Here is a 15,819-nt window from a genome sequence, read left to right as displayed (position 1 = left end):
GCCCAGATATCTTGCTTTTTTTTTGAGACAGGGTCTCACTCTGTCACCCAGGCTGGAATGCAGTGGCACGATCTCGGCTCACCACAACCTCCACCTCCCAGGCTCAGGGCTCAGCCTCCCGAGTAGCTGGGATTATAGGTGCACACCACCACACCTGGCTAATTTTTGTATTTTTAGTAGAGATGAGTTTTCACCATGTTGGCCAGGCTGGTCTCAAACTCTTAACCTTGAATGATCCACCTGCCTCAGCCTCCTAAAGTGCTGGGATTACAGGTGTGAGCCACTGCACCCAGCCGATATCTTGCTTTTTTACTCATACAATATTTCTTTCAAATAGATACTATTGTAATTTTTTTACAATGAGATGTTTTCATTGTAAGGGTGCACCCACATATTCCCAGCATTTCACTTTCCTCCCAATATACTTTTCCAAAGGAAAAAGATGTGGTATCTGTTTCATTTTTTTAAAAAAAAATGTCTACAAACAAAACACCAGGAAAATAACAAAAAAACCCAACTAGTGGATGCCGTGCCATCAGCTCAGAGACACCGGGACCCAGGGTGCATCCCCTCAGGCCTCTGAGATACATTTTCTGAGATTTTAGGGTGAGGGTTCTTAAACAACAAGAGGGGAGAAACCTAAAAATATTGTTCAACCTGGAGATGCCACAGGTGAAGAAAGGAGACACCACCCCGAGGAGCAGCGAGGACAAATATTGGAGTGTTTCTGATGGGAGAAAAGCCAATGTGTAGAAAAGGTCTCTTGTGTTAGCTGTGGCAGCTGTGGAAGGTGCTGGAAGCTGTCGGCTCCAGCACTGGCACTTCTATAGACCTAGGCAGTTGGGAGCCTGCCAAGGCCGGGAGTGGGGGGTGACATTTTGGAGAACAACACCTGGAGCCTTTTTTCCCCAAGAAATAAAAACCACATGTGTAACTAAGGGGAAGCAGACCATTCCACAGATAATTTCCTATTCATACCTGGGTGGAATTGGAATCTTCTGTGAACTTTGCTCCTGCCTCTGTGTCCTTACGCTAATGACACTGGTGTTTCGTTGTTTGCAGAGGCCACAGGAAGGAATGGTTCATGCTTTGGAAAGATGGACCAGGTTTAGGCAGGGGTGAGACAGAAGCAAAAGGACACAAGCTCCTGGTGGGTGCAGGGAAAAGGCAGGATTCTGAACTGAATACAGGCCCTGCTCCAGTGATAGGAGCTCTGATGACATCCATGGCCTCCTGCCCCTATAGTCCTCTGCTCCCTAACTGGGGCTGCCAATCTCTGACTTGACAGCCTGGCCGTTCCTCAGGGCCAGGGATCAGTCGAGGCCAAAGTATCACTTGATCCTTCCCTGAAATGCCTCTGCCAATCTGTAGCCACATCAGTTTAGCCTAGAGTCCCTCAGAACTTGCTACCAACAAAAACCTCTTTACACCACGACCCTGTTAACCCTTCACACTCCCCCATTTTCAAGGCCTCTGCTGTCTGTTGCCACACTCAGAATTCAGAAGGACTTTCTACTCCTTTTCATAGGTATTCTGCTGCCCAGAGCCTGCCTAATCCAGTGTGTGAATCTCCTGTGGCCCAGATCCAACCTGTCCCATGCTACGGGAGCCCTCTTTCTAATTGAGGTCCCAGATGAATTGAACTCATGAGTGAATAGGCATCTATGTGCACTTTATCTCATGTCAGACCCCCTAACCATCCTCTGAGATAGATACCATTGTTCCTGTCCAAATAACCTGGATACCTAGGGCTCAGAGATGTTAGGGCACTTGGTCATGAGCTATAGCAACCTTTCTCAAAGTGGGTTCGGTGGAACACTAATAGCATGGTGAAAAAGAGTCAGAAAACATCATTTCACATACTATGCCTCCCAACTGTATTCAAGATGGACATACTCACTAAAGGCTCTGAGACCTGTCTCACATCTTTCAAAAGATTAATTGACACCCCCCGACCACCTCCAACATCCCAACTCTTTTTCATCTTATTTTAAAAACACAGCGTTTCCCTAACTTATTTGACCATAGAACATTTTCCCCATGTAGCTTGTAGATTAAATTACCATACAACAAAAAATTCACTCCGTCTCTCTAAATCTTCTTGGGAAGAGTAAACTTCCTTGTCTCATTGATGAAAGGCTTGGCCATGTGACTTGCTTTGCCCAATGGGATGAAGGTGGGGATGATTGTGTGCCAGTTTCAAGCCTAGGCTTTAAAAATATTGCATGCTTCCATTTGCCCTTTTGTGACTTTCTGTGCTCAATGAGAGAAGCACACCCCCGGGGGCTGCTGCCCCACCATCCTGAGCCCTGGAATGAGACACATGGAACATAGCTTCCCCAGACAACCAGCAGAGGCACAAGTGAAGAATAAATGCTGATCATTGTATGCCACTGAGGTTTGGGATTGTTTGTTACACAGCATCATTATCAATGATGCTGATACACCAATATACCAGTCCTATTTAATATGCCATAGAATTGTAGCACTCAGTGGAATCCTCTTTGGAAAATGCTGAGTTGAAGTCAGTAAATGGCCAATCCAGAGTTGCACTCAAGGCTTCTCAAGCCAAAATTCTAAGGCCTGCTTTTCTCACTGCATCAAGCTGACAGAGATGAGCAACATCTGCCTCCAAGGTTGAAAAAGCTGCCCTGAGACAGTGTGATTTTGGGGATTTTTTAATGAAACAAGAAATACAGGGGATGGGGCAGGTGATGTTCATGGAGTCTCCAGGCTGGCACTCTGAGGCAGGTCTGGAGCCCTCGGGAAGGTGCACCAGAGGCAGGAAACATGTGCTGCTGCAGTCCCTCCCAGGCCAAATCCTTGGAAGCACTGCATCACAGAGGTTCTCATCTCAGACTCTTAGCACTGCTTTTGAGTTCTTTCTTTCCTTAAACCTGCAGAAGCCACATTATTTTCCGAGGTCCTTGTCAGTAGCCTAAATTCATACCAACTTGCTGAGTTGGTACAAAGTGCAGAATTGATGGTACAGAAAGACATTAAACAACCTACAACCTTTTAGACCATGTCAACAGATCATCCATAGCCTCCACTGAAGAAACATTTCATTAAATCCTTGCAGTTTCTCCCCAGAGAGTAGGAATGCCCTTCTATCTTTTAAAAACAGATGGAGGCCTGGCATGATTTTCATTCCAGCTGGAACAGTGGATTCACTTGAGCTAAACTCTAGAGAGGGTTGGTTAATCTTCATTCAAGAAATACATCTTGAGTACCCTAGGCCGTGGAGAAGCTGGAATACACCATGTCTGCAGGGAATGGGTACAATCCGAGCCCAGAGGGGAGAGAGGCAGGCCAGTGACAACTACAGTGCAATGTGCTGAAGGAGTGTGTGAGTCTGAAGGTTCTTTGTAGGCAGAAAAGTACCTATCAGGGGCCGTCCATACATGAAGGCAATTGTGAAGCCCCCTCCACCCTAACAAATAGTAGCTATAGGGCTACCCTCACAGGTAAACTGGTACAATGTGCGTAGAATGGGACTGATTCATAATATATGGGGTGAAGCTTCACCCTGTGATGGTGATTGGCTGACAGAAGAGTGAATGAGCTCCAAAATGCCAGCTTAAGCTGAATAGGGGAGTGCCCTGGGAGGCAGCCCTGGAATGAGATAGGAAATTAGGAAATGCTAAGTTAACAAATCAAATCCCTTGTCTCGTGCCCTGTTTGGAAAGAGACTGTGAAAAGAAAGAGGCTAATCAGCCATGAGGCTTCCAGAAAAGTGAGACCTAGAGGCAGAGGCCGGAGGGACCCACTGAATAACTCCAGGGGAAAGAGTGCCTTGGCTCAGGATCCTTGAGTGTGTTAGTTTCCTTGGTCCCTTAGCTAAGATCAGGGCTCTGGGACTTGGGTGACTTGAGCAAGGTAACCAGGGCACAGCATGTTGAGGAGGCACTCACTGTCAGGGTTGTAGAAGTTCAGTGTTAGCACTTGAGAGTGAGTGCTTTCTTAAGTTTTGTGCCCTGGCTGTCTCACTGTCTTACCTGAGCCCTAGCCCTGGCAAAGAGGCTCAAAGCAGCCGGTTCATGAGTGGAAGGTGTGTATTGAATCTTGCCTCTGCCACTTATTATTTCTGTAATCTTGAGCCAGTTTCTTAACTCTCTCAGCTCCAGTTTCCCCTTCTGTGAAACAGGGATACAGTTTCAATCTCACAAGGGGATATAGGAGGATGATGCTTGCGGAGTACTAAATGTGCAGCCTCCAGTAAATAGTTATTATTGGCTTGGAAAGATATCCTCTCCACGAGGAGAGAGTCCTTATTCAGCATTATCTGAGAGATGTCTCTTAATGTCCTTGTAGTGGAGGCTGTGATGTGCCACCTGGGTTTCCCTTCAGAACCACAGGACTGCTTCCTCCAGCTGCTGAGAGAGCCATTTGGCATAAAGGCCTCAGCAGTCTACCTCCTGCAGGAATTGCCTCAGCTGAAGAGAGCTACTTTGTCCAAGGTCCACTCACTTCCTGGGGCAGCCTACATCCAATGACTGGCCATGTAGGGGTATAAAGGCCCTGACTTCTTGCCCCAACTTGGGACTACTCTGAAGGGCCATCTCAGCTCCAAAGCCCCCAGGGTGTCAGCTGAGGCCTCTCAGTGGAGGGATTGTAGCTCAAGGTCCTCCTCTCTTCTGCTTTGCTTCCCTCGCTCCCCTGAAGGCTCTCCTCCACAAACTTCTTGCATGTCTTGTGGCAACTCATCTGGGGAGTCCACTCATGGGGGAGCACAGCCTGAAATAATCATTCCACCTCCTCCTTGTATTTCTGTGCTCACCTTATTAATCAGGATTGTTTTGGTTGTAAACTTAGGCAAAAAAAAAAAAAAACAAAAAAAAAAAAACAAAAAAAAAAACCAATGCATCAGAGCACAGAATCCCAGGAAAGTTGAAAGCTGGAGAGAGCAGGGAAACCATTGGTCTCCTTTCCACTATGACTCTTTCTGTGTGTGCATGTTACTCTCTCTCACCTGTAGACTGCTTCTGCTACATGGTGAAATATGTGCATGTTACTCTCTCTCACCTGTAGACTGCTTCTACTACATGGTGAAATATGTGCCTGCTCAGAGCTTCCCAATTCTGTACCTTAAATTCCAGACCACTTGAGAAACACTGACTCATTTCTAGTTTAGAAAACTCCAGAGAAGACTTGTGATTGGTCCATCTTGGGTCAGGGGTCATCCCATGTGACCATGTTAAAAAGTACTTACTCCCAAGGAAACTACCATGTTTTGGCAGTTAACAGATGAAGAAAAAAATAAGAGTTTGGCCGATAAAGAGAAAGGCACCCGGTAGTAGAGACTGTTGTCAGATTTTTGGTTGCCTGGCATCTGAACCCCTTCTCTCTGAATCTAGGTGGGAGGTAGAGCCCACCTGTCACTTGAGCAGCTAAAAATGCATGGCACTTATTGTAGCAGACACTGTTGTGCCCACGAATAAGTGCTTGGCACTCACCACTCCTGTATATGCCAATGTAAGCACATGTAACTCTCGATACAGACAAGGTTAGATGGGCAGGGAAGGTGAGTTCGCTCAGGAGTTAACGCCACACTCAATCAATGATGGGTGGGAACTGGTCAATCAAAACTCCAGTTTCCCTGCCCCTCAGGTAGGATAACTCCAAGAGAATCTATACTATCTCCCAGAGGTCCCCAACAAGAATGAGCCCCAGTTGCCCACAGCGGTGACATGCCTACAGTTTCATGACCTGTCCTTTATCAGCTTCTCTCTTTTCCTATCTCAATACCCCACTTCCTACTGGCACTTCCTGGAATCATTCCCAAGTAAATTATCCTTACCTCAGGATTTTTACCTGGAGAAACCCAAACTAAGACACTTGCCTTCTCAATTTTCCTGGTGGTCAGGCCACACGTGTGTGACGTAGACTAAGCCAGTCAGATATACCTGCCATAGATTGGAATCAGCAGCTAGGAACAGTGGGAAATCCTTTCAGGCAGTAGCCATGGTGGCTATAACATCCAGATCCCAGCAGGCACCAGTGAACAAAGGAGTCACGTCTGTCAGCTGTTGGCAGTACAAGCTGGTGTTCTCACTGGCTTGGGACTGCCTCCCCAGCTGCTCTCCGACCTCTACCTGCTTTTCAAGGCTAGTTCAGCAGTTTTACCAGCAACTTGGCAAATCACCTAATATTGCTTCAACAATTGCTTCAATGCTCCAATTAAGCCAGACTTTGTTCTAAAACCCAAGCTGCCATCAGCAAATATGGCCACCCATATCACTTGTTCATAGGCAGAGAATGTGATGTCAGGCTGGTGAGAAGGTCTGGCATCACTGTGCATTAGTCTGATTAGTCATCATGGCTTGCATATTTAAGTCTCTGTTGAGCTGGATGAGTGAGTTGATCCATTCTCGGGGTGCTGAGAGTATCCAGTTTCTGAGGCTGCCTGGCTGAAGATCTGACTGCCACCCACGGTGGGTTCACCAAAACACCACCTCAGAGGAGAATGAGCAGGTTTCAGCCTGAGTGACCATCACATTCTTCCCAGACATCACTTTCCTGCATTCCTCAGAATCAAGGCCCTCTGTATTTGAAAGAGCAGCTCCAAGATTCCCCCCACCATCACCGAATCAGAGCCACTCACAGGTGAGGTTCCCTTTTCAGAGCAACACAACAAGTGCAGAGAGCTGGGGAAAGGGCCAGTAGGAAAATCTGTGGATACTCTGTCCAGAGGAGAATAAGCACAGAAAGGCAGTGTGCAGCTTTGAGCTACTACTAAAACCTCAGTGTGGAGAAGAGAGAAAAAAAGGCAGATTTTTTCCTTTTCTGCCTTCTTCCTGGCCTTGATCAAATTAACATTGCTAAGTGCCAGTCTTGTCTGAACATATGCAGAAGAAACATTAGAATAGAACAGAGTAAGAATAGAATAGAATAGAATAGAATAGAATAGAATAGAATAGAATAGAATAGAATAGAATAGAATAGAATAGAATAGAATAGAAACAAGCTGAGTTCATGACACAGGCAAACAATACCATCTTGCTGCTTCATGATTCCTGCTTCAGTCTTCCCTCTCTTCCATGAAACAAATGCCCTGTAACTTTACCACCAGCAAAGAGGGTGAAAATAAGCAAAAAGAAAGTTCCCTTGTTGCCTCCAGGTGACTGCGGGAGGTAGGTCAGAAAGGCACGCTTCCGCTGAAGCCACATTTACACACTGACACACTCCTCTCTTGTTAATATTTGCATTGAACAAGCCATTTTCTGTGCTGACATTTTGCATCTAGTTAAATGCCAGCAAATCCAGGGAGATGTGGCTTTGACCTGTGGTTCTGCCCTTTTGGACAAGCGTCTGATGCTATCATACTTTCATTCTAATTTCTTATATTCCACATTTTGAATTCTTTCATCTCTAATATTTTTAACTGGATAAAATGCTTCAGACTTAATATTATCTCTGCTGAATACTTAATTGAGAAATGTTTTTAAAAAGGCATTTGGCTTAAATGATCTAAGTGTATGCATAGATATTTCTTTTCCAACAGTAAAGTGGCTTTGAATGATTTTTGTTATTATTAGGAAATTAAAGAAAAATTTGCCTTAAAATGTTCAGTGTAGTATTTTTTTTTTTTTGAGTGCATGGCTTTGCTAACCGTGAGGGAGAAATTGCTATTGAGGATTTCAAAAGTCTAGGGAGACAGCAGGGTGTAGCGATGGAATTGTATGGGCTCTGGAAGAAAGAAATCTTCAAACCAGGCACCCTCTACTCACTACATCTTGGATATGAGGAAATGAGGTGCAGAGAAGTTAGGGGGCTTTCTACCTCTCACGGTGGTCCAAGGTTTTCAATGCCAGGTCTAATTCCATGGCTTCTCCATAGCTTTGAGGTGGGGATGGGGCGAGGATGCACTCCTCTTCCAGTTTACTCCACAAGCCCTGCTCTGTAGTTCTGAGACCACATTCTGTGGCCACAGCTGAGCGCAAGGAGGCATGGACAGTCAGCCAAGCTAAGTTCCTTCTAACACTTTGGCATTGGGACACAATTAGTTTAGTTGGTCTTCTTGGTCGGATGCTTGCTCCAGGCAGCAATGAACTACTAGTCTTATGCAGGAGTGTGTGCAGAAGTCCCAAGCCTGTAACCTGGTAGGTTAGGAGGCCCTGACCTCAGCTATTACCCTTCCAGCTCTTGGTTGCCATTTCTCCTGAGATCTGCTTGTGCTGCATGACCTTGGCGCCTATGCCCAGCCTCAGCTTCTTTACCTAAAGCCTCTTTCCTTTAGCTAGCTCTGAGTTTTTTATTTTCTGAAATCAAGCAATCTCTGAATAAATAGTGTAGTCCTCTGAATTCCAGGAGAGTTACAAACCAAATTGCTCTAAAACAGTTCTATTTTCTTAGCAACTTTCATCCTAAAAGATATGTTTTCATCAAAAGAAGAAAAGTGTTTTTCAACAGATAAAGTTTCATGTATTTTGGTTCATGAAACTTTAAAATTTTGGTCAGGCCGTAGAATTCAGGTTTTCAAAACCCAAGAACAATGTGGAAATTCTCCTTTAAATCTCTTTTATTTTCCTTTTCCTTTCTTGGTTCTGAAGAATTTCTCCCATGCATACATTCTGGTAACTCCAAATTCATAAGGTCTGTACCTTGGCTTCCTATTCCATTCATTCAATAATTCAATCAATAATTTATTCATTCAACAAACCCTCATTACCTACTAAGCACCTGGTATTGTATTATATGCTGTGAATTCAGAGATTAGTAGGAAAATTTCTTCAGGGTACTCAGTTATTAGGGGAAGCAGACACGAAATTGCTGAGTATAGCAGAATAAAAGTGCTCTGGTGGAGGTGGTTACAAGGTTGTCTGGAAGCACACAGAAGGGGCCTGGGACATGGCAGGTACCTCAATTATCTGAGTAGAGCTGGGGGAAGGTAGGAAACACCTCCAAGAAGTGAAGCTTGAGCTGAGGCTTGATGGCTAAGTATGTCAGCTCTTCGGAATGTCAGTATGGGAAGCAGACACCTAGATGGAATTAGACACCTGTGAGGGATACATGAGGGAAGCAGGAGGAGGTGAGAAGGACCTTCAGACAGGGAGGCAGGTGTAACCCTGTGGAAGGAGAGGGGAAGGAAGAAGGGGTGGTTTGGGAGAGCCTCAGCTGGCAGCACAACTCTGAGAAAGTCTCAGCCAGGCTGATGGGAATCCCCAGAGCACAGACTGCCCATCAGAGAGGTCCCATGTAAGGCAGGAATGACCCAGGGCTAGTCCTGACCACCTCTCCTCCCTGTGCTTTGTCATGGGTGGGAACAGCCTGGAGAGAGGGTTGCCCCGGCAGGAATTCTGCAGTGGATCCTGAAGGTGTGGCACTCGGAGGCTGTCAGACATTTACATTACCCCCAAGGCATTTTCCACTGAAGGGAGGTCTGGGCAGTGCCTTCCCATGGCTGCCACACTAAATGAAGCCTACCCTGGTGGAGGAGATGGAGAAAGATGTTTCCAGCAGGAATGAATAGCATGAGCAAAGGCCTGACGGCAAGAGTGAGCACAACAAAAGAACACACAATGGAGAAAGGACAATCTTTTTAATAAGTGATGCTGTGAAGACTGGATATCCACATGCAGAAGAGTGAAATTAGACCCTTATCTCACACCATACACAAAAATCAACTCAAAATGGATGGATGAAAGGTTTCAATGTAAAACCTGAAACTATACAACTACTAGAAGAAAACATAGGTGTAAAGCTTCATGACATTAGTCTGGGCAAAAGCACAGGTAACAAAAACAAAAATAGACAAATGACATTGCATCAAACTAAAAAGCTTCTGCACAGCAAAGGAAACAATTAACAGGGCGAAGGGAGAAAATATTTGCAAACCATAATCTAATAAGGAGTTAATATTCAAAATACATAAAAATGCAAACAACTTAATAGCATGAAAAAGAATAGCTCTATTAAAAATGAGCAAAATGGCTGGGTGCGGTGGCTCACGCCTGTAATCCCAGCACTTTGGGAGGCTGAGGCGGGTGGATCATTTGAGGTCAGGAGGTCGAGACCAGCCTGACCAACACGGTGAAACCCCGTCTCTACTAAAAATACAAAAATTAGCCTGGCGTGGTGGTACACGCCTGTAATCCCAGCTATGCGGGAGGCTGAGGCAGGAGACTTGCTTGGACACGAGAGGCAGAGGTTGCAGTGAGCTGAGATCGTGCCACTGCACTCCAGCCTGGGCGACAGAGCGAGACTCCATCTCAGAAAAAAAAAAAAAAAAAAGGGCAAAACACCTGTATAGACATTTATTAAAAGAAGACATACAAATGACCAATAGGTAAATGATAAAATGTTCAACACCACTGATCATCAGAGAAGTGAAAAATCAAAACTGCAATGAGATATAATCTTACACCTGTTAGAATGGCTACTATCAGAATACCCAAATATAACAAATATTGCTGAGGATGTGGAGAAAAGGGAACCATCTTACACTGCTGGGGGGAATGTAAATTAGTACAGCCATTATGGAAAACAGTATGGAGTTTCCTCAAAAAAACTAAAACAGAATTACCATATGATCCGGCAATCCCACTGCTGGGTATATATCCCAAGGAAATGATATCAGCATATCAAAGAGATGTCTGAACTTCCATGTTTATTGCAGTATTATTCACAATAGCCACATATGGAATCAACCTTAGTGTCCATCAACAGATGAATGGATAAAAGAAATATGGCATACATACACAATGGAATCCTATCCAGCCTTAAAAAAGGAAGGAATCTTGTCATTTGTGACAACATAGATGAAACTGGAGGACATTATGCTAAGTGAAATAAGTCAGTCACAGAAAGACTGCATGATCTCACTTACATGTGGAATCTAAAAAAGTTGAACTCATAGAAGCAAAGAGTAGAATGGTGGTTACTGGGGGCTGTGGGATTGGGGAAATGGGGAGATGTTGGTCAACGGGTACAAAGTTTCAGTTAGACAGGAGGAATAAGTTCTGGAGACCTAATGTGCAGCATAGGGACTATAGTTAGCAATATTGTATTGTATACTTGAAATTTGCTAAGAGAGTAGAACTTAATTATTCTCACCCAAAAAAAGCAACTGTGTGAGATGATGGATATGTTAATTAGTTTGATTGTGGTAATCATTTCATAATGTATACATATATCAGAACATCACACTGTACACATTAAGCATATACAATTTTTATTTGTCAATTATACCTCATTAAAGCTGGAAAAAAGAAAAAAAAGAGTGAGTGTGGCAAGCTTGAGAGAATCACAGGTAGTTCAGTGGAACAGAGGGAAGTTTGACTTTAGGCTTAATATAAAGGGAGCAACCGAAAGCTTAAAAGAAGGAGAATGATAGAGTCAAATCTCCTTGACTGGAAGTTTGTAATGTCCACTGAAGCTGGGTTGTGCGATGGACACTTTCAGCCCCCAAATGTACCATCTCTTCCTTAGGACTAAAGGTGTTTGCCAACTGGATGGGAAGACTCACACACTACTATCATATATTGAGTACCCAATATGTACCAGGCACTATGAAGCCCCAGTCCTATAGTAACTCATTTAGCCCTTTCAACAATCCTGTAGAGAAGGTCCTGTTATGTCCTCATTCACAATTGTGGAAACTGAGGCACAGAGAGATGTAGTAACTTGCCCAAGGGCACACAGCTGAGAATCCTGGGACTGAACACACTCTGTCCCCAAGCCTCCACTCTCAACCACTATACTCATCTTTTTTCAAAATTTTGTCTCTCTAGAGAGGCATGCAAGTGAAAAATTGTCCCATAAGCATCTCCCACTCGGCCCCATCAGCCTATGTAAGAAGGCTGCTTAGAAATGTGAGGGGGTTATACAGATGTGTGTGGGAGTGGGGGGTCACCTGGAGGGAAACATAGTGTTTTTTTCCTCCTAGGTTCCACTTCCCACAACACCTCTGCCACCAACCAATTGAGGGTCTTCAGGAGAAGTGTTCTTATCTGTGCAATAGAGCCTGCCAGAAGGGGCACCTGGCAACCCTCTTCAGAGGCTTGATCCTGTGCTGCAGAAACCTATGGACCTGCTCAACCTGTGCACTGGAATTCCAGGGATAGACTGAGCTGTCCCTAGGAGGCTGGGAGCATTCTCCAGCAGAGACCAGCAACTGCCTCCTGCCTGGAGAATCTGGAAGGAGGAAGGGCGGCTGGAATCACCTGTGATGGCAAGTGAGGGAGAGAGGGCAGACAAAGGTAGCAAAACTGCACTCCTAGGACTTGGAATGGCAAGGGTGAGTGAGCTTCTGGAGACCAAGTGTCTTCCGTAGAAGGTAACTGGGCTGGCACTGTTTCAAAGAGTCCCTACCCAAGAGAGCTGCCTGCTAGAGTGAGGGGTCCCAGCAGAGAGAGGTTGTGGGGGTGAACCAGACTGGGCAGGAGTTGAGAGGGTGCCTTGTTACTGTACAGTCTTACAGTAACTCATGTAAACCTCACAACAATCCTACAGGGAAGCTCCTGTTAGGCCCGCAACAGAGACAGTGCAGTGCTAAGGATGTTTCAAGGCTTCCCAAACACCTATGGAAATGCCCCAGGAGGGGGCATCATTTGGGAGCCTTCCTAGAGACAGCCAATGATGGGATTATTACAGGGTGGACAGGGAAGTATGACTGTACTCTTTTCTCCCACCTCTCTGCTCAGACTCCAGTGTGTCAGAGAAGACAGGAAGACCAAGAAACAGCCAAGGAGAGGGGCTGAGGAATGAGAGATGGAGGAGACAACAGATTGTCCTTCCCATTGCCAAACCTTAGGCCGGGCCTGAGGGGATCAGACTGGGCAATTGAATCCTCAAAGGTTCCTGGAAGGTATGGGCGCTGAGTAAGATGTCAAGGGATAGGGAACGGGGAGCTGATGGTGACAGGTGCGAATGCAGGTGTTTGAGCAACAGTCTGTTTCCTATTACCACCCCATCAACTTCAGTCCATGTAACAGGCTAGTTTTACATGCATCTACTGACCAGCCACATATACATTTAGTCCTTTGAGGAAGAGGATACTATTATCGTCATTTCACAAATGAGGATACTGAAGCTCAGAGAATTTAGGGTACTTGCCCCAAATCTTTAAATTCAAATCACTTCCTTCTTGGTTAACTTCATAAATTTAGGATTTTTTTATGTCATAAAATAGGAAATGACCACACCTATGGTGTCAGTGCAAAGTCTAGTGAGGCTCTGAGCAGGAGTGGGAAGAGACATCTGGCCGTGGGTCTCTCCTGTGGCAGGGGGGCTGTAAGGTTGGAGACAATCTAATTGCCACCCTGATGACTTAGCCTCAGCTGAGGATGGGCATGTGGACACATAGAATGATTTCACCTCTTATTTTCATGGTGACTGATGCCAGTGAGCAGTCAGTTGTGGGAGAGGCACGGCAGGGAGGGTGCTGTGTAGAATTCACAGCATGCCTGGAAGCTACCCACTCTCCCACCCACCTTAGCAGGCTCCAGGGAGAACAGCCTTTGCCTTCCCACATTCCCTTTAGGCTCCTCTGTGATCTGTTACGATCCACAGATGTGCACACACACACGTATGCACACAAATGCTAACACATGCACATGCATGTACAACCATGAATACATGAACACACATGTACATGCGCACGCACATGAGCACAAACACATGCACACATAAATGTCTACAAACTGGCATGCACACATGCAAATGCAGACCCACATGCCCATATACATGCACACACATATGCACGCAGACACATGTGCATACAGGCACACCCCAAAGACAGACACACACACGTGCCCCCACACCCAGGAATGCACATCCATGCACAAGCATACATGCATGCATGCAAGCTGCTTTTTGTCGCAATCTAGAAATCAGTTTCATGACCCTGTAGATGTACCTCCTCTATGAGTCAAGGTGGCATAGTAAGCTCAGAAGGAATACTTTCCTTCTTGAGATAGGTGGGTTTCCCCTGAGGAAATGATTCAGAAAAATGTTTCCTTCCCAAATCAGAACAAATTAGAAGGGAAATTTTATGCCAAAATATTTGCTTTCTTGACATGGAGACAAGTGAAGCAGCACCCTCATCCCTTTGTGCCCTTGGCTCCTCTACCTCATAGTGCCTGATGCGTGCAGCTGCATGGCTCCAGGCCCTGGTTGGATGGGTGCCCTCTCACAGGGCTCCATCATGAGCCAGACTGGGGGGCCACCCTGCAGAGAAAGACCTGGACCAATGTGTATCCTTACTGAGCATGGTTATTTGATCCCTGTTCTAGCTCATTCCTTCTGTTCTTAGGACTACTTAGGAATTGAATGTGCTGAGACTTCCTCTCAAAGGAGCCCCTCCTTCTTAAATGAATCCAGGAGAGAAGTTCTGAAGACTGTGGTCTATGCTAAAGGAATGCAGATATTTATAAATGGTCATCTGCATTGAATGAACCAAGTCCAAATGACAATCAAGGAGAACTGTAAACATAGGAAAAGAGGGCTGAACCCATGCTTCCAGGGAAGGAAGAAGAGAGAGAGAAAGAGAAGAGAAGAGAGAGAGAGAGAGACTGACTTCTGGAATCAATCAAGGGAAGTCTGGAAATGGTGGATGAATGGAACAGAAATCCCCAAGCCAAGTGTGAACAGGTGACAGGCCTCTCTAGGGCCAAGGGGCTAGACTCTGTAGCCAAGCATTGAGCACCAAATGTGAACATGATAGAGTTGTCAGTCAGAAGAAACTGCTTGCCTATTGTCTAGTAAGCTGCACCTTGAACAACCAGCTGGAGTGGTGGTTCTGGAGTAGCTGCCTCTTCTGGTCTGGAATGCATATAAACACCACGAAAAAGGCCCAGAGCTGGGCTGGCAAGGGGTCTTTCCCTGGGGAGAGCAGACCACCCACACCTTTTGGGAGACTACTTTAGGCTCATCCAGGAGGCCTTTTGATGTGTCTGTTATACTGAAGATAGTGTTTTGAGGTCCCCAATCTTTCTTTATGTTGTTGGCTGTCATATAAAAAACAAACATCAGGAGAGAGAACAACTGTTTTAACTCAAGTAATAGCTTAAGACTAAAAATGAAATAAATTCAGGGTTATTAACAAGAATCTATCAGATCTTCTGCTAAAAGAGAAAAAAAGAGAGAGAGAGAAAGAGAAGGAGAAGGGGAAAGTGGGGGAAGGGAGAGAAGAAGAGAGGGATGAAAAGAGAGAATGGAGGAAGAAGCGAGGGTGAAGGAAGGAGAAAGGAAGGACTATGAGAAAAATCAGCACAGATCATCTTTGGTGTGTATTAAAAACAATATAGGAAGTTTTTTATGTCCATAAAAACTGCCTTTTCCCATTTGTGTTGACTATGTTGCCCTCAAGGTCTAGTGTTATATTCTCTCACTTTTGATAAACACATGGTAGCAAGATACAAAAACAAAAGCAAGAAAAAAACCAATATAGCCATGTGGATAAAGGAGTACTAGTATTTAATTTCAATATTAAGGGCAATAGGGCTGGGTAGGGACTGTGGCTAATTGGTATACATCAATCCTATCTAAAAGGGGAAGTCACCATTCAGCACCAGGCTGCTGTTGCCTTGAGTGAATGCAGAGCTTATATTGCCAGATCTGATTTTGTAAGAGATACTGAAAATTCAGTTTTATATGAAATCTCCAAGTTTTAAAGTATTGAACCAGTTCTTTGTAAAGCCCATGTCAGGCTCCATTTATATTGGGGACTTCTGGTTTGTCACCTGAGACCTAAAAGGACAACTGAAATATTAAAAGTGTGACATCCATTACTCTTTTCAAATGCTGCACTTCCCCTCCACCCCCCAGACATAGTAGCAGAAACAGGTTGGTGTTTTAGATGTTGGCATAATCAGGACT

General features: G+C 45.0%; 1 long non-coding RNA gene across 1 annotated transcript in view; it reads left to right on the top strand.

Annotated features, from left to right (window-relative positions):
• Positions 1–14,521, top strand: part of LINC01283 (long intergenic non-protein coding RNA 1283) — a 33,586-nt gene extending 19,065 nt beyond the window's left edge. The window contains exons 2-4 of the long non-coding RNA NR_186823.1: positions 11,888–12,172; positions 12,645–12,808; positions 14,255–14,521. This is a non-coding gene — a long non-coding RNA (long intergenic non-protein coding RNA 1283). The remainder of the gene's footprint in view (positions 1–11,887; positions 12,173–12,644; positions 12,809–14,254) is intronic.
• The last annotated feature ends 1,298 nt before the right edge of the window (positions 14,522–15,819 follow it).

This window comes from Homo sapiens, chromosome X (assembly GCF_000001405.40).
Source record: "Homo sapiens chromosome X, GRCh38.p14 Primary Assembly".
In the NCBI taxonomy this organism is placed as follows: Eukaryota; Metazoa; Chordata; class Mammalia; order Primates; family Hominidae; genus Homo; species Homo sapiens.
The sequence above is the reverse complement of the archived record's forward strand: the minus strand, read 5'-3'. Positions and strand labels throughout refer to the sequence as shown.